Source organism: Homo sapiens, chromosome 4 (assembly GCF_000001405.40).
Source record: "Homo sapiens chromosome 4, GRCh38.p14 Primary Assembly".
NCBI classification, from domain to species: domain Eukaryota; kingdom Metazoa; phylum Chordata; class Mammalia; order Primates; family Hominidae; genus Homo; species Homo sapiens.
Window position 1 is genome coordinate 142,926,503 of NC_000004.12, and position 25,307 is coordinate 142,951,809.

General features: G+C 38.6%; 1 long non-coding RNA gene across 1 annotated transcript in view; it reads right to left on the reverse strand.

Annotated features, from left to right (window-relative positions):
• USP38-DT (USP38 divergent transcript) overlaps positions 1 to 25,307 on the reverse strand; it is a 396,420-nt gene that overhangs the window by 138,061 nt on the left and 233,052 nt on the right. Inside the window, exons 2-3 of the long non-coding RNA NR_185979.1 lie at positions 13,587 to 13,743; positions 6,621 to 6,760 (exon numbers count right to left, since the gene is read on the reverse strand). This is a non-coding gene — a long non-coding RNA (USP38 divergent transcript). The remainder of the gene's footprint in view (positions 1 to 6,620; positions 6,761 to 13,586; positions 13,744 to 25,307) is intronic.

Consider the following 25,307-nt stretch of genomic DNA (forward strand, 5'->3'; position numbering starts at 1 on the left):
GACTGGCCAGAAATAGTTGCCCCCTCACAAACTAATGCCTATTCTCATGATTCACCCCAAATTCTCTCATGGATTCTGTACCCTAACAAGAGGTAGAGCCCTTGCATAATCCAGACAGACTAATACAAGAACAGCTCCAAAGGATACAGTCTACACACTGAAAAAGATGCAATGTGTATGGCAGGGCAGGGAAACATGAATGGATGTAGATTCTGAGTATCAGATCAAGAAGAATGAGGCATAAGGTTTGACCCAGCTGAATTAATTGTCAAGAGTCTGTTCACCCAGGATTCAAGAAAAATGTACTATGTCATAAACATGGCAGTGGTGTTAATAGTCTGATAAGTTGGTCAATTGAAGCTGAATCTCGAAAATTATCTACGTTAGAGGTCAGCAAACTATGGCCCATGAGCCAAATCCTGTTCACCATCTGTATTTGTAAATAAAGCTTCATACGAATGAAACTAAATTCATTTATTTCCATATTATCTGAGATTACTTGTGAACTCAAATGACAGAGCTGAGCAGCTGAGACAGAGACTATATGGTCCTCATAGCCTAAGATATTCACTGTCTAGCCTTTTACTGAGAAAGTTTGCTGACCCCTGCTCTGCATCACTGAGGTCAAAATGCTGGAACATTTTGAGTACTAGAGAGGAAGAAGCTCTAATGGCAAATGAGAGATTGGAATGAATCTGTTATAAGTAATTTGCTCACCACTTCTAACCATAATCCATGGGCTACCCAGAGAATGCTTCCTTTACCAAGGCATTGATGAGAACAACACCAAGAGGCTGAAAAACTGTATTGGCCAGAGATAACGATGCTGCATTAAAATTTGTCTTCCTGATTTCAGTGGAAATAATGGGATCCCAGAGGGGTAGAGACAAGGCATTTGCACTAACCACAAGCAATAAGGTGCATGCAATTAAACAATAACCCTCTGGGAAAAATGGGGCCAGACTGTTTTGGCCCAGAGGGATTTGTGGGGATGGTAAATTGCTCATGGAATCCCTAGATATGAAGCAGATGGGCTGTAAATTAAGGTATATCTGTACGTGTGTTTGCAGAAATATTCTGGATATGGTCATCAGAAATTTAAATCAACGGAGTAGGGATTTATGGTCTTTTATCCAACCAGGGCAATCAAATTCACAAACTCAGAAGTGCTGCCTTGACTGAGGGAGAGGCTTGGACCCTCGGGGAAGGTCCATACAAGACAAGGAGGAGTGTTTCCCAGTCCTTTCCAGACACATATCTGTGGCCATTTTACTAGGTCGACTATGCACTAAGAAAAGGAAAATACTCAGGCCTTCTGAGGCTTATTAGAGCCTGGTTCTGATCTGCTGCTAAGCTCAGTCACTGAAACACCACCACTGCCCAGAAAGGATATTTATGCAGTCTTGGCTCCAGTTCCTCTAACAATTTATCACTGGGTCCAGTGGAGAGAGTGAGATCAGGGTATTTATTCCCCCAGCTCCCTGCAATGTAATCACAGGCTGCCTGCCTCTCTTACTTCAAATTCACAGCTCTGGTCTCCATGTACATTTCTCTTTTTCTAAGTTCTAGTAACCATTTTTTACCCTTGCCCCTTCAGGCATAGCCATGGTAAATGTACCTTGCCATTACTACTTCTAAACTCTGGTTTTCCTAAACTCTAACCACATACCTTTGTAAAAAGTCCCCAAATTAAATTCTCAAGTTATAGTCACAATACTGTGTAACAAAATTTGCAACACTTCAGTAGCATTCAACCATAAGCACTTATTGCTTGAATCTCAGGTATCAGCTAGGCTATCAACTAGTGAATCCTTGGTCAGGGTTGTGTGTATGTCTGACAGCTGTCTGATGGCTGATCTCAGACAGCCTCAGCTCTGTTCTCCGTGCTTCTTGACCTTCAGGAGGTTATCCTGGGCATGCTCCCACGGTGTTGCAAGAGGCATAAGAAAGGAAGCCCCAATGCATAGGATTCTACTTGTATCCATTCTGCTAATACTGCCTTGGCCAAAGCAAATCACAAGGTTGAGCCCAGTGCCAAAAGAAAAAGGAGGTAAGGAGATATGGCAGGTCACCCTGCCTGTAATGAAAAAACTCTGCAAAATCACATATCAGAGGGGACAAGTGGAGGAAGAATAAAGAATTCAGACCATCATTGCAAACCAGTACATTCCTCAAATTACTCAATTTGAATGTGCCATCTTTTCCTGATAGAGCCCTGTCTAGTTTGTTTAGAGAGATTAAGAAGGTACTTGAGTTTACCCACTAACAAATCAAAGCTGCGAAACACACCATGTAGACTACCTATGGTATCCATAATAATAACCATTGTCTTGTCTTGGTTATTAACACAAACAGAAGTAACTACCACCAAAGGACAAAGGCAAACTGGTAGAGGCAAACCAACTTTCAGAAGTGAAGAAGCTGCACCACTGGTCAGGTCCAATAGATGAGCATGGGAAATAAAACAGAAAATAAGGTGGCATTTGGAAGCAGGTAAGAGCAGACACAAATGGAACAGAAATATGAGAATCTTCTGGAAGGAAAAATCTCGTGACATTAAATATGAACAATCTGGGGAAGGCCCAGAATTTACATTTATTGGGTCTCTCTACATGGTAGTTCTAATTGATCTACAGGTACAGACTCATGTAGTACAATAGGGAATAACAAAATTTGCAAACATGGAAACTTTATTAAAGTTCTAGAAAGTCATATAGACTTCTTTCCATCATCACACCTATACTTGCTGGCTCACTTCCTTGATCATTGCTCTCCTGCATCCCTCTTTGACACTCTTATTCTTTCTCATGTTGACCTCTCTTCTTCTCAATGTTCTTTCTTGTCCCTTTTCTTGTCTACTGGTCTTAAAGATGCAAGTAAAACAAAATTAGGAGTGGTGTGTCCTAGTATGTATTTATGTGTTTCAGAAGCTGTCCCGGTTCGCTGTCACCCCTTTCAATGGGTTCTCTCTCATTTTCTCATTAGATGGGAGGACTAATGTAAAACTCCTTAAGTTAATCACTAGTGTCACAGTGAGGCAAGGAAACTCAGAAGCCAAGCTGAACATGAGGAAGCCATAGCTTATACAGCAAGTTACTGCCTTAGGCCATAGGAAATTCTTATCTGAATGCTCTTTCACAATTTCTTTATGGTGCACTCAGGAAAACCACGTGTGTCTATGTTTGGGTCAAAGTAAAAAAGAGAAAACAAAAACCTTTCCCTACCCTATTTGGTCAGTAGTGGTGTCAAGTGGAAATGAGGCAAGAGAAGGGATGGGTAGGGAAGAATATCACGAAATGTTACAAAGACACAAGCTATGGCATTTGGAGACAGCTTACACGAAGGTCTCCAAATATCCTTTCATTATCAGAAAAACACACTTCTGCAAACATAACAGGCTACAATTTTCTGCAAGTTCTCATTAATGTTTGACTTTTAACAGATTGCCAAGCACAAGCCAAAATGAAATGTCATCTTTAACAATATAATATGATTTAAAATCCTGTAGAATGCCTACATGACAGATCAACCTTCACATGAAATCTCCTCTATAACAATATTCTGTGTAATCATGCATATTTTGCATTCCACAGTCAGTGTAACACATAGGTAGAATATTGGCAGTCTGAAAAATAGTAAAAATATTGCCAGGCATTAAACTTTTCTGGATACAAATCACATCTTTCATAAAAAAATAAATTCTAGAATGTTCAAGGATGGCATTGGAAGAGGTTCCTCATGTAAGGATGGCAGCTGGACCTCACATCTCACTTGTTTTCCCTGGGATCATTTTCTCCTTTCTTAATTCCAATGCTACCACTGCTAAGGGCAGAAAATACTGTTGTTCCTTGATTTTGTATCCTGAGACTTTGCTGAGGTTGCTTATCAGCTTAAGGAGATTTTGGGCTGAGACAATGGGGTTTTCTAGATGTACAATCATGTCATCTGCAAACAGAGACAATTTGACTTCCTCTTTTCCTAATTGAATACCCTTTATTTCCTTCTCCTGCCTAATTGCCCTGGCCAGAACTTCCAACACTATGTTGAATAGGAGTGGTGAGAGAGGGCATCCCTGTCTTGTGCCAGTTTTCAAAGGGAATGCTTCCAGTTTTTGCCCATTCAGTATGATATTGGCTGTGGGTTTGTCATAGATAGCTCTTATTATTCTGAGATATGTCCCATCAATACCTAATTTATTGAGAGTTTTTAGCATGAAGCGTTGTTGAATTTTGTCAAAGGCCTTTTCTGCATCTATTGAGATAATCATGTGGTTTTTGTTTTTGGTAAAAATCACAATCATTCTTATACACCAATAACAGACAAACAGAGAGCCAAATCATGAGTGAACTCCCATTCACAATTGCTTCAAAGAGAATAAAATTGCTAGGAATCCAACTTACAAGGGACGTGAAGGACCTCTTCAAGGAGAACTACAAACCACTGCTCAATGAAATAAAAGAGGATACAAACAAATGAAAGAACATTCCATGCTCATGGGTAGGAAGAATCAATATCGTGAAAATGGCCATACTGCCCAAGGTAACTTATAGATTCAATGCCATCCCCATCAAGCTACCAATGACTTTCTTCACAGAATTGGAAAAACCTACTTTAAAGTTCATATAGAACCAAAAAAGAGCCCACATCGCCAAGTCAATCCTAAGCCAAAAGAACAAAGCTGGAGGCATCACGCTACCTGACTTCAAACTATACTACAGGCTACAGTAAACAAAACAGCATGGTACTGGTACCAAAACAGAGATATAGATCAATGGAACAGAACAGAGCCCTCAGAAATAATGCCGCATATCTACAACTATCTGATCTTTGACAAACCTGAGAAAAACAAGCAATGAGGAAAGGATTCCCTATTTAATAAATGGTGCTGGGAAAACTGGCTAGCCATATGTACGAAGTTGAAACTGGATCCCTTCCTTACACCTTATACAAAAATTAATTCAAGATGGCTTAAAGACTTAAACATTAGACCTAAAACCATAAAAACCCTAGAAGAAAACCTAGGCATTACCATTCAGGACATAGGCGTGGGCAAGGACTTCATGTCTAAAACCCCAAAAGCAATGGCAACAAAAGCCAAAATGGACAAATGGGATCTAATTAAACTAAAGAGCTTCTGCTCAGCAAAAGAAACTACCATCAGAGTGAACAGGCAACCTACAAAATGGGAGAACATTTTCGCAACCTACTCACCTGACAAAGGGCTAATATCCAGAATCTACAATGAACTCAAACAAATTTACAAGAAAAAAACAAACAACCCCTTCAAAAAGTGGGCAAAGGACATGAACAGACACTTCTCAAAAGAAGACATTTATGCAGCCAAAAAACACATGAAAAAATGCTCACCATCACTGGCCATCAGAGAAATGCAAATCAAAACCACAACGAGATACCATCTCACACCAGTTAGAATGGCAATCATTAAAAAGTCAGGAGACAACAGGTGCTGGAGAGGATGTGGAGAAACAGGAACAGTTTTACACTGTTGGTGGGACTGTAAACTAGTTCAACCATTGTGGAAGTCAGTGTGGCGATTCCTCAGGGATCTAGAACTAGAAATACCATTTGACCCAGCCATCCCGTTACTGGGTATATACCCAAAGGACTATAAATCATGCTGCTATAAAGACACATGCACACGTATGTTTACTGCGGCACTATTCACAATAGCAAAGACTTGGACCTAACCCAAATGTCCAACAATGATAGATTGGATTAAGAAAATGTGGCACATATACACCATGGAATACTATGCAGCCATAAAAAATGATGAGTTCATGTCCTTTGTAGGGACATGGATGAAATTGGAAATCATCATTCTCAGTAAACTATCGCAAGGACAAAAAACTAAACACCACATGTTGTCACTCATAGGTGGGAATTGAACAATGAGAACACATGGACACAGGAAGGGGAACATCACACTCTGGGGACTGTTGTGGGGTGTGGGAAGAGGGGAGGGATAGCATTAGGAGACATCCCTAATGCTAAATGACGAGTTAATGGGTGCAGCACACCAGCACAGCACATGTATACATATGTAACTAACCTGCACAATGTGCACATGTACCCTAAAACTTAAAGTATAATAATAATAAAATAAAAAGAAAAAGAAAAAAGAAAATACTGTTGTTCCACATTTAATGCTCTGGTCCAAACCCTGCAGTCCAAACCACAGCAAAAATCACACTGAAACATTTAAGTAAAAATGTTGTGAGAGTTGAGTATCACAAAAAGAAAATCTGCTCAGAAGGTAACATTAAACTAGATACATGTGTAATGGCTACAATATTTTATAACTAATATAACCGTGTATTTTTAATTCCCTACAGCTCTCTCATGCAGTGAATCAAGGGTTTTTACTGCTTTCGTGGAAGAACCCATAATACCTTGGAAAAAAATTATTCAGATTTGAGTGTTAAATCATATTTGTTCAATTCATAGTGAGAAAATAGCCTTGAAAGCCTGGTTTCTTTTAGCAAGAGCACCCCTACATACCCCTCCAGGAACACACACACACGCAAACACACACATGCCCCCTAATTTCCAAAAGCTTCTCTTCAAATATTGAGAAACTGGGTGTCAGCTGGAGTACTTACTGGGAAGTGCCCACATTCAGTGGACTCGCCTCGGGCTCCTCCCTTCCAGTAGACCTCTGTGTGGGTCTGCAGCGCAGCACAGATGGCTCTGTCCGCATCACTACCTGTTTACAAGGCCATGGCTGTGATTATGGAGACACCTGGAGTTAAAACAGAGTTGCCTCACTGATTACAAGGAGCCGACACAGTGTTATTTTGCATATTTGCACAATATTTTGCTCTGTCTTATTTATTGAAATTTGTAAAGATGTCACAGATTGTGACTTGAATGTTTCAGCATATGTCATCTTACGGTTTCAGCAGATGATGATGCTGAGTCACAACAGATGACTTATTTCCTGGGCTTGTCCTTAAATTGTCTTCTATGCCCAAATCGCCTATAGACAACTTTTAAAAATTAAATTCAAATAAAATTAAGTTTAAACCTTTGAGAAAAGGTGAAGCCCAAACTTGCATGGTTTAAACTAAATACTTCGAGTGGAACTAAAATATTTTCCGGAATTATCTGAACAATTCCGGAGTCACTTTTTCTCTGCCAACATAGCTTCAGAGGAATTAACTAGCAACAGAAAATTCTGAGAGAATTAACTCATTTTTATATTTTAAAAAGGAAAAATTCCTGTGGATGTATCTACAGACTAAAGAAACTACAATTTTCCATTTTCTATTGGTTACTATACTTACAGATGGCTACTGAGAAAATATGTCTTCCACATAAGCAAAACAAAGTTTATGTCTATGCATATGACTAAGTTTTGTGTATATTTTCTATATATAAAAGTGCATTAAAAACTGGATATCTGTAAGTTCATTTTATGTTTTAATTTTTGAGACAAGGTAATTTCAAAGAATCATTCTATTAAATGTAAGTAAAATATTATTAATTAAGATTTCTATATTCCCTGAAGTGGCTTTTAATTCTTATTTTAGTATTATGGTTTTTATTACCAATAAAAATTAAAGGTGCACATTAAATATCTAACATAGTTATGATCTGAATACACTACAAAATGTTTATTGTTATGTTAAGTCAACTAAAAATCAAAATACTTTGAATAGTTAAATACATACCTAAAGATAGTATTTATTTCTCATTCATATATGGAATCAATAGCAATTAAGTTTAAATGTCATTGAGAGAAAAGACCACATGTCATACATCTTTTTTAGTTAAGTCTCAATAAACCCCAGGGTAGGAAAAAGATGTGAGAACAGAGAGAAAAATGGGATTTGTGAGCAACTTGTTCATAGGCAAAGCCATGAAAGTGATTGAGATTACCCAAAGATAGCATAGACAGCATAGACAGTGACAAGAGAGGTAGAAGGAGAACAGAATCCTGGGACACCAACATTTGAAAGGCAGGAAGAGGAGGAGAGCAGGGAGTCCATAAAGCAGACTGATAAAATTTTGCAAAGCTCTAAAAAAACTCCAAGAGAGAAGGGTGCCATTAGGAAATAAACATGGCTGAAGAAAAAAAATTGAGATAAGAACACATGATGAGTAAGAAGGATTTTAAAAGTGTTTGGAAAAAAAAAAGAGTGGGCAAGGTGTGTGCCTGCATGCCACACACATGTGAGTGTTGGCCTTTGCTGTGCTGTGCTTATAGTTGCTGAGCAATTAGTACAGTGAGTGGTGATTGGCTTAGGATGAGAACTCTTCCATGTGTGCCAGATAATGCCAACATGACCAGGAGGTAGTCTGTTGTTGAGTGAGCTATTTATATGAACACTCAAGCCAAAACTGAGCTTTGTCTATGGAGGCAGACTGATGTAGAGAGGAATTATAGGTAATGACTAAGGGCACTGTGCTGAAGTCAGACTCACTGGATTCATATTCTGATTCACTTACTTACATCCTTGACCAAGAGAATGCCATCAGCAGAGCAGGGATAATAAAAGCACCGAACTAGTAAGATGGCTATGAGGATTGACTGAGGCGATACACATGAAGCCATTAGAGTAGTGCCTGGCAGATAGTAGGTGCTTAATTAATGTTAGCTACCATTTGGAATGAATTGTGACACAGTGCTCTTGACACTATGTGTCAGACAAATTAATTCATATGGCTTAAACTCTAGTCTTTTCACATGTCAGTAGATGTCTGTCCTTCACCAACCAGTGCGCACCAAGGATGTCACATTCCTATTTAATATACACATAATGCCCAATTTCTGGAGCTAATCTGTCCCGTTATCTCACAGTGCTTTTGTGCATGTGCAGGAGTGAGTTCTCGAGCTTTCTGGTCAAGTCTTATGATGCCAACACCATCAGTGAGCCTCCTCTGGGGACTACTCTGCTAGGCTCTGAAGGCCTCCATAGGGATGGGCTGTTGTCACCACCTTTGAAAAGGGGCAGGGCTACCCACCCCCATTAGCACTCAGGAGATGGGAACCTCCTTTACTTCCCCACAGCACAGCTCATATCAACCTCTCACAAGGCTCCACAGAGCATGCACAGATAACAAAAAGCCCAATACAGATTAGCGTATAACTAATTTACTTCCTGATACAGCTGCCCCTGGACCCTTGAAGCCACCTTGTGTTCAGAATCTGTCTCAGGATTTCTCACCATCCCCACATAGCAGGGACACCTTGTACATCTTAAGCTGTGAAATCCAGGCCTGACTTTCACAGCCTCAGAACAAAGAAGGATTGTACCCGTCCTCCAGTCCATGGTTCACCTTCTCAGTATCTCTGTAATCCCTTGCAAAGATGGCTGCCCTTCTCTAATAATCTTCCCCTGAAATGTAGAAACTTAGTTCTTTATTCAAAGCACATGTACACTCAGGGCAGGGCTACAAAAGATGGTATTTCACAGGCAAAGTCGCCTACAGCATACAGGTGGCATTTCTTTCTAGCATTCCAGGGAGCATGCATGTGGATCTGGTCAGGCAGAGGTCTCAATCCCACAAGCAAGAGGGGACACCTGATCTTTCTGGGGATGCTCTTTGCTGATCTTCCTCTGCACTTTGGTTTGAGACTAAATGTGTACAGTGACATCTTCTGCCAACCCTTGATTAGGTGTCATGGGCACAGGTAGCCCATCTCTCTACCTTTCTCCAACCACCTAGTTATCAGGCTGACTTCTTCACTCCTCTTCCAGGACCTCATCTGACTCACTCTGCTCAAGGGGTCACTGTGACTTATCTCAGTAGTGTCCATTGAGTGTCCTCAACACTCTAAGGAAATGGCCATCTCCCTACGGCTAAGACTAAATGGTGGATATTTTCATTTTATAAGTATGTAAGAAGAGCCTCAGGAACTTTCACCTTTAGGTGTTGGGCAATGCCCCTCCAGACTGGGATGGATGTTGAGGATCCACCTTGAACAATTGGAGCTCTACTCACTGACTAAACTTCTGCTAAGAGGACTGCAGAGTGTCTTACTCTTGCTATCATGCATGGTCTCCTCCCTCCCTCTCTTTAGCTCCAGGACACCAGGAAATTTGCTTTGATATTCCTGCAGATCAGCATGCCCTGGAACACCCCACTAAGGAGAACCCCAGCCAGCAGCCACTTGGAAGTGCTTGGAATAAAGCCTATTTGTAGTTGATGGAGTAAGAACCACTAATCAAAATTAATTTTCATAAATGTGATACTAGAAGGAAGGAAATAAACAGAACAGTAACTTCAAGAACACATCAATTTTAGGAGAGAGGATATTTCACTCAATTTTCATTTCACTCAAAAAAAAATGCTAAGAATGTACTATGTTCCAGGCACTGAACCAGGTACTGGGGGGCTGGGGGGGAAGTTGAGGTTGTAGCCATGAGCAACAGCAGGTGCCTCAGTCCTCACATGGTTAGAGTCAGTGTAGAGTGGGGGAGAGGTAGACATTAATTAAGTAATCACACAAACAAACATAAAATCACAATTGTTAGAAATGCTGTGATGAAAGGTTAAAAGGTGCTATAAGAACATATAATAATCATTCCTGAACATACTCAGAGTATTCACATAAACGCTCCCTAAGGAAGGGATGCCTAAACTGAGACATAAAGGTTGGGGAGGAGGAGAGGAGGAAAGAAGAAAAGAGAGACCACAAAAGCCACATATTTCTTTAAGCAAATCATCTTTAAGTCTGGATGTGCAGAGGCATTTTATTACCACATGTAATATGTGTTATGGATATTATTATTATAATATGTGTACATAAAAATATATTTGCACATAGTATATAAGCAGAATTATCTTATTTTCAAAATCACCAAAAATGATCTTTTTGAATACCTTAAACAAATTATCCAGGACCAACAAGTCTTGCTAGGATAAGGGCACTTAAAAGTCGATGAGGGTTGAGGAGAACTTAGAACCTGGCTTCTGAATTCCCAAGCACTAGCATTGGCTTTCCATAAATTAAATGGCCTTGAACACGTCACTCAGTCCTTCAGAATCTCATTGCTCACTTGTGAAATTTCAGTGTTATAATAAATTATATTGAACTTCCTTTCAAATTCCAAAATTATATATTTCTGTAGTTATTACCTGCAGTATCTAGAGACCTAAAATTAAGATTAAATAGTTACCCAAAGACTTCCACAGTATGAATACCTATGTAAAACAGCTAGGAAGAAAATTAGCTCAATCCTACTTGGAGTTAAGAATGGCTTATACCTTAAATTAGGCACTTTAAAAGACTAGAATAGGAATAAGTTTTTTCACTAAGCTCTTTTTTTAAATATATCAATTTTGGGAAATGGAATCCATTTTGAAAGTCTGGCAGAAATATATGCTAATGGAGTTCAGGATGTAAAGGAACTGGAAACATCTTGCAGTGTTACAACTCATTAAAGTACTTACTAGACCACAGAGTACAGCATCTGAGAAGAAAATAGGGCTCTGAACACTTTTCTTAATTAAAATTCTCTATTTAATTCAATTGAAATATATAGTAAAAAAGAAATAAGATGAAAATTCAAAGCAGAATAGTCATTTAGAAATACTACCCTAAGTCCTGGCTATTTGTTTTTCAACTTGCAGGGTATTTCAAGTTGCAGAATCATGATGTAGTTAAAAATATAATGAGGAATTGGCACTGGTAGCTTTATAGGAATTCAAGATTGGTTTTTGGTTTTCATGCATCAAGCTTTTTGTTATTTAAACTTTGTTACTGTCATCATTTATCTAGCTGTTGAATTTAACCTTTGAACACCACAGACTGCAAGACTATACAGCGTGCTTGCAAATAAGTGAAAACCGTTACTGGGCCCAGTGATCCATAGGGCATGTCATTCTACGGTGAAGTTTGCATGAAATGAGCCCTCTTTTCTTGTGCATGTGTTGTTAAGCTGAGCATAAACTGCCCAATTTATAAACCACTATATATGAATTTACTTATATGATTCCCAATGCAAAAATAAAACACTTAAAGCCTAGTCAACACACAGATAAGGTAGAGAGGCATTTGAATAATTATAGAATATGTGGGCTGGATGAGACCTCGAGGTCTTCTAGATGAGTGTTTCCCAAATGTGCCTGAAAATAAAAATCATCTGAAAGCATGTTTAAAATGTCTAAAAATTATAAACTGACAAAAAATAATTGAGTTCAAACTCTAGAATCTGAATTCGAATTCTCAGTGCAAAAAGCTTTGACTAAATGGTTACAAGTGCTCTCAGGTAATATCTGAGAAAACCTGATCCAGTCCAACTTTCTACCTGAAATTTCAATCCCAGCTTATGTGGTTCCTAATATTTATGTTCATTAAAATCGCCTGGTGCATTGTTTCTGTTTTTATATTGAGTCCAGTGCTTCTTCCCCAGACATAACTGAATTAGAAGAACCTCTAGGGGCTGTGATGGTTAATTTTATGTCAACTTAACTAGGTTAAAGGATACCCAGTTAGCTGGTAAAACAGTATTTCTAGGTGTGTCTGCAAGGGTGTTTCTTGAAGAGATTACATTTGCATTGGTAGACTGAGTAAAGATCACCCTCACCAATGCAGTGGGCATCATCCAACCCATGGAGGGTCCAAATAGAAGAAAATGGCAGAGGAAGGACAGATTTGCTCTCTTTTCTTCAGTGAAGACATCATCCATCTACTCCTGCCCTGTGACATCAAAGCCCCTGGTTTTTGGGCCTTCAGACTCAGACCAGGACCTACATCACTGGCTCCCCTGGCTCTCAGGTTTCGGGGCTCGGACTGGAACTATACCACAGGCTTTCCTGGGTCCAGCTTGCAGACAAAAGGTTGTGGGATTTCTCAGCTTCCATCATTGAGTGAGCTAATCCCTCATAATACATCTCTTTTGTGTATATCTCTATGCATCCTACTGGTTTTGTTTCTCTGAAGACCCTAATACAGGGGTTTGTAATCTGTTTTTGTTTTATTTTGTTTCATTCTGTTGCGGGGCTGGGGGTGGTGTTTGCCTGTTTATTAGTGTGCCCCAGATAATACTGAATCCCAGGCTGGCTTGGAAGCAGCCCTCAGCCTCACTTTCCCTAACACAATTTAGACCATCTCTGCTTGGACACCTCCAAGCCAAGAGCTCAATCACTCCCCACAACGTAATTACAAACATTTTGTTTTCTCTACCTAGAAAAACTCAAATTTCTCCACTCTCCTTTTGCATACAAACAAACCTAATCTATGAAACAAGTACATAATTTTTTTTCCTACAATCAATGTATTGACAGTGAGTTGGAATAAAGTTTTTGTGTTGTGACAACATTCTCTTCAGGGCAAGATGGGAGGAATGGAAAGGGGAAAAGGAAAATCTAGTCAAAACCTGTTATTTGGCAATGTGCATGAAAAACAATTAGTTGACTGGCGAAGTTTGTAATGCTAACTAATAAATCCATCAGAAACAGCTATTTACAAAAAAATACAGCATTACACATTTTGAATACTATAAAACAGCTATTTAGGAATCTCTTTGAAGAAAAACATTTCATTAAATGAACATATTTCTTATCTAAATTGATGTTTTGAACCTCCCTAATATTCTGAGAGATCACTAGAAACTTACCAGACTGAATTTTTACTTTTATTTCAGCAAATATATATTGAAGACTTTCTATGTTCAGGCAGCCTTCTTGACACTGGGGATGCAGCAGTAAACAAGATTGTCCAAAAACTCTACCCTGCTGCAACCTCCATTTGGGATGGGATTGGAAGGAAATAACCTATAACAAAATAAACACATATAATAAAATATCTGGCAAAAATGAAGCAATGAGGAAAATAAATCAGGATAAGCAGATAGAGAATGACTGGAAGACTTTTACGGAACACAGCATCCAGCACATCACTATTAACTGGCATTGATTAGTATGATTTATGGATGTGCATCATTTTCTTTCACATATGATGTTAATGATTCTGGCAATTCTGCTTTCCTCATTTATGGATGTAGCTTTTAAAGAAACTGCAACCTGCTCCAAACAGAGAGTTTCACTGGTCAAACCCAGCTTTCTGACTGCACATACCAAGGCAGGGCCTGTCACTGTTGCTGATTTTCCTAGCCTCACAGGCTGCTCAATACCTTGAATCAAAATGAGCCACCCCGTCACATGCCATGTGCCATGTCAGCTCACTGACAACACCCCTCATTCATCACTAATGGCAGCCCCTGGGTGTCATGTCAACATTTCCGGATGGGCTTCTCGGTGAATGCCTCTGTGGAGGTTTTTTTCACCCATCTTATCACCAAGCAGCTGCTCCAGAGTCCTGAGCATCCATCCTCAGCCAGTGTGCAACCAGGCAAAGAGGCACACATGGCACTGTTTGCACACTGGCTGCTTTCCAGGGCAGCTGGTAAAGGCTAGTGTGGTGCTGTGTTGCTATGTATTTATACAGTGATAATCACCTTTGAGGCATGGCTACAGGCTGATCAAACGGTATGTCCAAACTAAACCTGGATACATTCACTACGTCTCTATCTCTTTTTGAAGAGAGAAGCAGGAAAAAGTGAGGCACAAAGAGATGATAGAAATACTAGCTTACAAAAACAGAATTAGCAAGCTTAAAATGTCTTGTATCGCCTATTGTGGTGCTGACAAACATGGTGATCCTAAGAGGCCTGGCCAAATATGCCACATACTTTAACTGAGTTACATATACACATCACATCTTTTATGTTTATAGATTGTTTAGATTGAAAGCCCTTTTATAGACATTGTATCATAGTATGTTCACTTGGTTTTCATTGAAAATATTTTTGACTGCATCATAAAAATAAAAATTTAATAAAATAACATTTTAAAATCTGTTGTTTAGAAAATTTGACTCTATTACCCAGAGACAGACTATGTCTACAGTTAACTCAAAATTATCTGTGTCCACAGACAGAAACAATGGAATATATTGTAGATAATCTAAAATCCAGTTATACCATACTGTACCACGGAATTCAATTAACTGTATAAGGGATGTATCAAATGTTTTGTTTCACCCATTTCACAACAAATTCTTTCTTCTCCACTAGTTACTGCTGCCCTGACCTCATCTTGAAACTCCCCTGAATTTTCTGTCTACTTCATGCATGACTCCTTTTCTTGCTCCCTTTCTCTAAAGACAAATATGTCCTAAGGTTCAAGATACGTGTTTGGTCCTTATTTGTATCTACTCTCTTCCCCAAGATCTCATCTGCCTTCACAACTTCAACTTTCTTCTCTTTGTGGATGATTAATAAACCTTTATCTTCTACCTGTAAATAGATTCTATGTGGAATGCTCCATAAAAGGTATAAAAACAACTGACCATTTGGAAAAAAAAAAAAGTAAATGCAGATTCTATCTTCACATTATGTACAAAATTGAATTGTGCGTGGATTACAGAAAAAAAGTCTTAAAAAGTTTTTCTACAAAAGTACAACACAATCATAAAGTGTGGAGATAGACAGATGATAGACAAACTGAACTGCTTTGATAATATCTTCTGAGATATGCCAAAGGGATAGGTTTATTCAGGAAAATCAGAGACACAAATCAGCACATCACACATGCATGTTCAGGGACTGATGGAAATATAATGTCAATGAAACACATTAGTTGCAACTTTATAATGCATTGAACTATGTGGCACTAAAGAGTGACAACACATTGAACATATCATGCAATGTCATGAAACATCCATTATAATACAATATCAATAATCCATTTATTATGCATATTTACCTGTGTTTCCAGACTTTCTGATAACCTTGTTTAAGGATAAAGTATATGATTATTTTACTTAAAACCATAGGAAGAGGGAAACATTTCTACATACATCATAAAACTCAAAAGCCATAAAGTAAATATTTTAAATGCATTTTATAAGGCCCCAAAGAATGCAAACTGATAACAGATTATCTTTAGTGAGTGGAAAATTTATATTTATTCTAAAAATGTCTTAGTTATTTTATTTTTTAGTAATGAGAATATTATCACAGTTTATTTGTATAAATTTTAAAACTATAGACATAAAAAGTACTATACAGTACTCAGCTAAGTCACTACTAATCAATATTCTTATTGGAATAAATTTATCTGTCAAAACACTTTTTAATATTGCTGATAAAAACACAAAATATGACTTTTCTATAATGTTTTCAACTAAGGAAGAGTAAACATATAGAGAAGAATAAATTTATCTCTCCAAGTTATTCAGAAAGACAACCAATTCCAGAAATCTATTAGAAATGATAGAAAAAAATACAGCTCTCTTGATTGGAAATGTCAGAAACAAGAAAAGGAAGTTATGAAAAACAACAGGACAATAAATTATGGATTAAAACAGCTGCTTCTGGCCAGGTGTGGTGGCTCACGCCTGTAATCCCAGCACTTTGGGAGGCCAAGGTGGGCGGATCACTTGAAGTCAGGAGTTCGAGACCAGCCTGGCCAACGTGGTGAAACCCTGTCTCTACTAAAAGCACAAAAATTAGATGGGTGTGGTGGCGGGCACCTGTAGTCCCAGCTACTTGGGAAGCTGAGGCAGGAGGAATCGCTCGAACCTAGGAGGCAGAGGTTGCAGTGAGCCAAGATCAAGCCACTGCACTCCAGCCTGGGTGACAGAGCAAGACTCCATCTCAAAAAAACAAAACAAAACAAAACAAACAAACAACAAAAAAAGTCTGTTTCCAAAGGGTTTTTTTTTTTTCTTCCTTGCAGCACTAGCACTTCAGTATATAAGTATTCTATTCTATAGGGGGAAAAAAACTACTTCATCATCCAAAAAGTTTGAAAGAAACCTTGGCTAAGCATGAAAGTATTTCTTAACTTCCAGACTTCTTAAAACCCTTAATATATTCATGAACATGGTGAGTCTCAAACCAAGGGAAATAGTATCAAAAGAATGATACATTGATTTGATTACAAATCCTCTTTTCCATGGTAGTTATTAATGGCCCATATTTTGCAAAATCCTTTCAGTATGTCAAGGAAGGTGCTTAAGTTAAGATAATGAGTCCCAAAAATAGAAATTACAAATTCCCCCCTGATTCCTTAGCTCACTAAATAAACCCAGACCATATATAGCCTGCACCATGTGTTTCCTTGGACAAAAATGAGAGCCAAAAGTTTTAGAAATTCTTAGGAAATAATAGCCTATCTATTTATCTTAATATTTATTCTAAATATTCAAATTGGCATCCTATTTACCAAGGGTGTATCTGAGCTTCAGGGAGCATTTTCTCTACCACTATTACTCATCTTTTATGATCTGTAATTAAAACATATATACTGTTTTAAATGACTATTTTTTTTTTTTGAGACAGAGCTTCATTCTGTCACCCAGGCTGGAGTGCAGTGGTGTGATCTTGGCTCAATGTAACCTCCACTTCCTGGGTTCAAGCAATTCTTCTGCCCCAGCCTCCCAAGTAACTGGGATTACAGGCATGCACCACCATGCCCATCTAATTTTTGTACTTTTAGTAGAGATGGGGTTTCACCATGTTGGCCAGGCTGGTCTGGAACTCCTGACCTCAGGTGATCTGCCCCCCTCGGCCTCCCAAAGTGCTGGGATTACAGGTGTGAGGCACCACACCCATCCTCCCATCAGTAGCTTCTGAGTTCAGAACTTTGTATCTCTGGATGTATTTACACTAAAACACTGCACACCAAAAATTGAGTAGCAAAATTCCTATAATTCAAATTATTTATACTGATTAACAGTGTCTATATTCACAAATAAGTCAAATTACATATAATAAGTACATTATAGATTTATATTCAAAGAGAAGAACTAGCTCTAGAAAAGTTTACACAAATGAAATAAAAGTATATGTAATATGTAGGGAATTTTTACTGTATATTAATTCAAGCACAAGTATATGTGCTAATATACATTTACATGTGAATTTTTATATCTGTTAGGTATCTCCTTTTCCTTTCCCTCTTCATTAAAAAATCAGTGAAAATCCTTGGTGGAATACGGCCAAGAAATATCTCTGTTCTAGAATTGCAATGTTCTAAACACAAAGAAAAGATAAATGTTTGAGGTGATGAATATCCCAATTACCCTAATTTGATCATTATGCGTTGTCTGTATGTATCAAAATATCACATGCACCCAAAATATGTACAACTATGATATATAAATTTAAAAATACAAAAAAAGGAAAGACCTCTGTTCTGACCCAGATTCTTTCCCCTTTACAGTTGACTGCAAACACTATAGGTCAGGAATCAGATTGCACAACTGAGCAGAGACATGGATATATTTACACTTTTGGAATGACATTAAGCATACTCCCTAGTTGCAGTGGCTTGGAAAGTTTACAATTTAGTCACTCTATACCTATAATTAGATGGACTGCAATCAGATTTCAGTATTTTCTAAACAATGTCTAAGAAGAAGAGGCTAGCAAACTATAGCCCTTGGGTCAAATCCAGCCCATACCTGTTTTGTGAGTATAGTTTTATTGAAACATAGCTATGCCTGTTCATTTTAAATATTGTTGATGATTATTTTCATTCTACAAAAGGACTTGCAATAAAATTTCCTTTATGGCCAAGAAAGCCTAAAATATTTACTAGCTTGCCCTTTACAAAAAAGGTTTGAGGAGAAACTAAGATGGTAGACTAGATGCAGCTGCGAACCACCTCACCACCAAAATATTGAGTAAACCATCACACTTAAACAGATCTTTTGAGAGAAAACACTGAAAGTCAATAGACAGACAACGCAGACACTGCAATTTAAGAGGGAGGAAACTGGGAAGGTTGCATGGAGATGCTGAGCACCAGGACCAGCTCCTGGTCCTAAACAGATCCTACGGAAGGAGTGAGGAAGGAACTCCACGGCACCACATTCCCACCATGGACCTCTGGGATGCTAGCTACAAGAGATCCCATGATCCCCACAGACATTTGAATTGGAAGGGGGAACTGCTCAGAGATCAGGCAGAGTCAAAGCTCAAGCCTGTGCAGAACTGAGAAGGTTTCATAGTGTGCAGAGCCCCTGCAATAAAACGCAACCATAGGAGCCCATCCCCCAAGGCTCTCTATCTTGGTCTGGTGTCTGCTGCCCCTGCTACTGCCAGGCTGGGAGATAACAAGGCTGCCTGTCCCACAGGACTAGGGCACATCTGATCCATGCACCCCCTTGTCCACTGGCCCCTCAACCAAGATTGCCTACCTGGTCACTCCTGCAGGAGTGCCCACAGCAAAATCTCCACTGTCCTGGCTGAGTGTTTGACTAGCAAATCTGGGAGAAATTTGGCCCCCCAGCACAGCTGGCACTCAACCCTGAGGGGCCAGAGGACAAAACCACATGCCCAGTCCCAACACCTCAGGATTCGAACACACCTCACAGGGGTCTCAAGCTGAGATGTGTGGTCTGAACTTGAGCAGAGGAGGAGTCCCCACTCTCAGAACACTGAGAAGAATGTGGGTCAGGTTCATGTGCTGACACAGGAGCTGGGCATCCTTCCCTTAACAAGCCTGGTCCAGGAAAGGTATAGCTGGTTAGCTAGATGCAGCTTCTGCCCCAGGGATCCCCAAGGCCTTGAACACCTGGAGCAGTCCAACAATATGGACAGAGAACGCTTTGGACAAGTTTACCTGGTCAGGCCTGCTCCAGGGACAGATAACGGAAGAAGACCTGGTCAGGGGAGTGTGAGCCATGTAGGGACCACAGTCATCTGCTGGGCTAAAAACTTTAAGCTATGGGCACCACACAGCTGCACACCTGCAGCGCAAACACTCTGCCTGGGGATCCTCCCTGCTGACCCACTGCATCACCAGACCAACAACAGACATACCCCACAACCCACTCTGACTCTGTGAAGCTCAGAGGCCCAGCAGATCCCCAGAGTACTTCAGGTCTCCTGGTGACCTAACCTTAGACTCAGATCACCCCTAAGGGAAAAGGGGGTGCAGTCCACTTAAGAAATGTGGATGCAGAGCCAGTAATTGAAAGGGGATACCCCAAGACCCAGGAACAGACTTGGTGAAGAAGTCACTGACCACACCCTCATCTCCTCTGTGCACAGCACTGTTGCAAGCACACTGAAACAGAAAAGAGGTGCATGCCTAAGTAAAAGCCTATCTGCTGGCCCATCTACTGGATCACAGTCTGAATTCTACCACCAAACAAAAGTAAATTCCTTCAACCTGCAATTCCTGTGAAATGCAATGCAGGAAACTATCCAAAGATAAGAGACCTGAACAGAGCCTTGGCCCTCTGAAAGCACCCAGAAAATTTGCAAATCAACTATACACAGCATACACCACAGCCAAACCCTGAAGGAGGAAAAAAAAAAGAATATAAAAACAAAAATCCCTCTCCAAATGACAGCAATTTCAAAAATAAAAAGGAATATCAGCCCCTTCAGATAAGAAAGAATCAGCACAAGAACTCCAGCAATTCAAAAAGTCAGTGTTTCTTTACCTCCAAAGGATTACACTAGCTCTCCAGCAATGGGTCCTAAACAGATTGAAATGTCTGCAATGACAGACATGGAATTCAGAATCTAAATGGCAAGAAAGCTCAATGGGATTCAAGAGAAACTTGATACAATCCAAGGAAGCCAGGAAAACAATCCAACAGCTGAAATACAACATAAGAACCAAACTGAACTTCTGGAATTGAAAATTTCATTACAGGAATTTCAAAATACAATTGGAAGCCTTAACAACAAGCTAGGCCAAGCTGAAAAAAGGATTTCAGAGCTCAAACACCAGACCTCCAAATCAATCCAGTTAGAAAAAGGTAAAGAAAAAAGACCTTAAAAATGAACAAATCTGTGAGAAATATGGAATTATGTAGAGGGACCAAACCTACATCTCATTAGTATTCTGAGAGAGAAAGAGAGAGAGAGAGTAACCAACTTGGAAAACATATCTGAGGATTTAATCCACAAAAATTTCCCCAATATTACTAGAGGTTTACATGCAAATTCAAGAAATTCAGAGAACTTCTACAAGATACTATACAAGATGACCTTCCCCAAGACAAATAGTCATCAGACTTTCCAACATCAATGTAAAAGAAAAGTTCCTAAAGGCAGCTAGAGAAAAGGTCCAGATCACTTTTAAAAAATAATAATAAAGAAAGAAAAACTTCCTCAGTCAAACAGTGGATTTCTTGGCAGAGACTCTACAAGCCAGAAAGCACTGAAGGCTTATTTTTAGCATTCTTACAAAAAAAGAAATTCCAACTAAGAATTTAATGTCCCAACAAACTAAGCTTCATAAGTGAAAGAGAAATAAAACATTTTTCAGACAAGCAATCATTAAGGGAATTCATTACCACTAGACCAGCCTTACAAGAAATCCTTCAGGGAATTCCAAACAATGGAAATAAAAGAACAATACCCGCTACCATAAAAACACACAAAAGAACATAGCTGACCGGGCGTACTGGCTCACGCCTGTAATTCCAACATTTTTGGAGGACGACACAGGTGGATCACCTGAGGTCAGGAGTTCAAGACCAGCCTGGCTAATATGGTGAAACACAGTCTCTACTAAAAATACAAAAAACTAGCCAAACATGGTGGCGGGCACCTGTAATACCAGCTACTCGGGAAGCTGAGGCAGAAGAATTGCTTGAACCTGGGAGGTGGAGGTTGCAGTGAGCCAAGATCACACCACTGCACTCCAGCCTAGGCGACAGAGTGAGACTCCATCTCCAAAAAGAAAAAAAAAAAAGAACATAGCCCACAGACCCTATAAAGAAACTATACAATCAAGACTACAAAGCAACCAGCTAGCAATAGCATGGAAGGATCAAAACCTCACAAATTAATATTAATCTTGAAAGTGAAAGACCTAAACATCCCACTTAAAAGGCAGAGTGGCAAGTTCGATTAAGAAAATAAGACCCAACCTTCTGCTATCTTCAACAGACCCATCTCAAATGTAATAAACCCATAAGCTCAAAGTAAAGGGATGGAAAAAGATCTATCACACAAAAAGAAAAGAAGAAAAGGCGAGTGTCATTTTTCTTATATCATATAAATCAGACTTTAAACCAACAACAACAAAAAAGGTAAAATAAGGTCACTGCATAATGATAGAGGGTTCAGTCCAACAATAAGACTTAACTATCCTAAATATACATGTATTCAACACTGGAGCAACAAGATTCATAAAACAAGTACTTGTAGACCAATGGAAAGACTTAGAAAACCACACAACTGAGTGGGAGGCTTAAACACCCCACTGACAGCATTAGACAGATCATCCCGGCAGAAAACTAACAAAGAAATTCTGAACTTAAATTTGACACTTGACCAATTGGACCTAATAGACATCTACAGGACACTCCACCCAACAACTACAGAATGTAAGCTCTTCTCATCTGCACATGAAATATACTCTAAGATCAACCACATGCTCAGCCATAAAGCAAGTCTCAATAAATATAAAAAATAGAAATCATATCAAGCATATTCTCAGACCTTGTGGAATAAAAATAGAAATTAATACCAAGCAGTTCTCACAAAATCACGCAATTACTGAGAACCAAACAACTTGCTCCTGAATGACTGTTGAGTAAACAAAATGAAGGCAGAAATCAAATACTCTTTAAAATAAATGAAAGAAGAGACAGAATATACCAAAATCTCTGGGATGCAGCAAAAACAGTGTTAAGAGGAAAGTTTAGAGTGCTAAACACATAAAGAAGTTAGAAAGATCTCAAATTAACAATCTAACATCTCAACTAGAGGAACTAGAAAAACAAGAACTAACCCAAAAGCTAGCAGAAGAAAAGAAATAACTAAAATCAAAGCAGACCTAAATGCAATTGAGATCAAAACTTCATGTAAATAATCAATTAAATGAAAAGTTGTATCCTTTGAAAGGGTGAACAGGATAGCTAGATTAACAAAGAAAAAGAGAGAGAATATCCAAATAAGCATAATTAGAAATGACAAAGGTGGCATTACAACTGATCCCACAGAAATGCAAAAAATCCTCAGAGACTATTAATGACACCCCTTTGCACATAAACTAGATAATCCAGAGAAAATGGCTAAATTCCTGGAAACACACAACCTCCCAAGACTGAATTAGGAAGAAATTGAAAACCTGAATGGACCAGTAAAAAGTTTCAAAATTAAGTCACTAATAAAACAACCTAGCAACCAAATAAAGCCCTGGAACAGATAAATTCACAGCCAAAATCTACCAGACTTGCAAAGAAGAGATGGTACCAATCTCACTAACACTATTCCAAAAAGTATCTAGAAGTGATGCCCCACTAACTCATCCCATGAAGCCAGCATCATATCGATAACAAAATCTGGCAAAGACACACACACACACACACACACACACACACACACACACAAAACTACCAGCCAATATAACTGATGAACATAGACACAAAAATCCACAGCAAAATACTAGCAAACCAAATCCAACAGCACATCAATCAGTTAATTCCCCACAATAAATTAGGCTTCATTCTGGGGATGCAAGGTTGGTTCAACAAATGCAAATCAGTAAATGTGATTCACCATATAAACAGAATTAAAAATAAAATATGTAGGAATATATATCTTATTGTCAGTGTCACCGCTATTAGATTTGGTTTGGAATTGAGTCTGCATATATGTGAATATTGGAGTCTCTAGTTTTCTGAGTATTCACAATTTATATTAATGAGATTATATTTTAAGGTTCTGACTAAAGAATTTAGCAAAGTTGTGTTTTTTTTCAATACTACCTCATGCTTCAAAAACGTGCTCTTCTGAGAGCAATGAAAACCTCCAATCTCATAGAGAATCACTGGTTCACTTCCTAGAGAAATAAATCTAATGAAAAATAAGTAAGACTTCTATACAGAAAACGATAAAACATTACTAAGATAAATTTTAAAAGATGAGGGAGAGAGAGAGAGAGAGACAGAGAGAGAGAGAATGCTTCCAAGAACTGAAAGGCTCAATTTTGAAAGTTAACAATTCCTTTCAGATTGATCTGTAAATTTAATGGAATACCAAAAAAATTCACAAGAAGTTTTTACAGAACTTGACATGCTTATTCTATGATTTATGTGGAAATCCTGAAAACAAAGAATAGTTAAGACAACTTACAGAATAAATTTGGAGTGTTTACACTACCCAGATATCAAGACATATTATAAACCTCAGTAATAAGAAATCATGGTTTTCATGCAGGAGATATAAACAGACCAATGAACAAAAACCAGTATCCAGAAAAAGAAGCAAACATAAATATTTACCTGATATATGACATATAAATTTTACTGATTCTTTTGTTAATCTACATGATATAAAAATGAGTCTTAATTCCTACCTCACATAAAAATCAACTCCCAATATATTTTAAGACTGAATGTGAAACGTAAAACAGTAAAACTTCTAAAACATTTAAAAAATCTTCCAGACTGTGGACACGACCCTTACAGGGCCCCCGCAATTCCTGTTTCCTGGTGTTCACATCATATATAGTCCCATCCCCTTTGCTGTGACTTGCTTCTAACTAATAGAACATGGCAAAGGTGAAGAAATTTCAAATGTAATTAAAGCCTCAAATAATAACTAACTTGGAGTTATTATCAAAAGAAACGTTATCCCACATGGTCTGACTCACTCAAGTGAAGGTCTTTAAAAGAAGGACTGGAGCCTCCTCAAAAAAGGGACTTTCCTTTTTGACTTGATGAAGTAAGATTGATTGAAGAAGGCTCCACGATGAAGAAGTGCAAGCTGCCTCCAGAATTACAAGTGGCCTCCATCACCTGAGGTTAGCCACCAGCCAAAAGCCAGCAAAAATCTGCAGCCCTCATTCATACAGTCACAGAAAAATTAATTTTGCCAAAACCTGAATTAACTTAGAAGTAGATTCTTCACAGTCAAGTCTCCAGATGAGAGTACAGCCCAGCCAACACCTTAATTTCAGCCTTGTGAGGCCCTGAGCAGGTAATTCATCCTCAGACTCTGACACATAGAGGCAGTGAGATCATATTATTTAAGCTGCTGAGTTTATCTAGCAACAATAGAAAACTAACACAATGACTTTACCCTAGGCAAAGATTTTTCGGATAGGATGCATAAAAGCACTAACTATAAAGAAAAAGATTGATAAACTAACTTCACTAAAATTAAGAGCTTCTGCTCACCAAAATTACCATCAAGAGAGTAAAAAAGCAAGCTATAAAGTGTGAGAGTATATTTGCAACCATATATCCAAAGAATGAACTCCACTCCATAATATATAAGGAACTCCTATAAATCAATAGAAAACATATAGACAACTCAATTAATGGAAAAAAGATTTAAACAGGTACTTCACAGAAA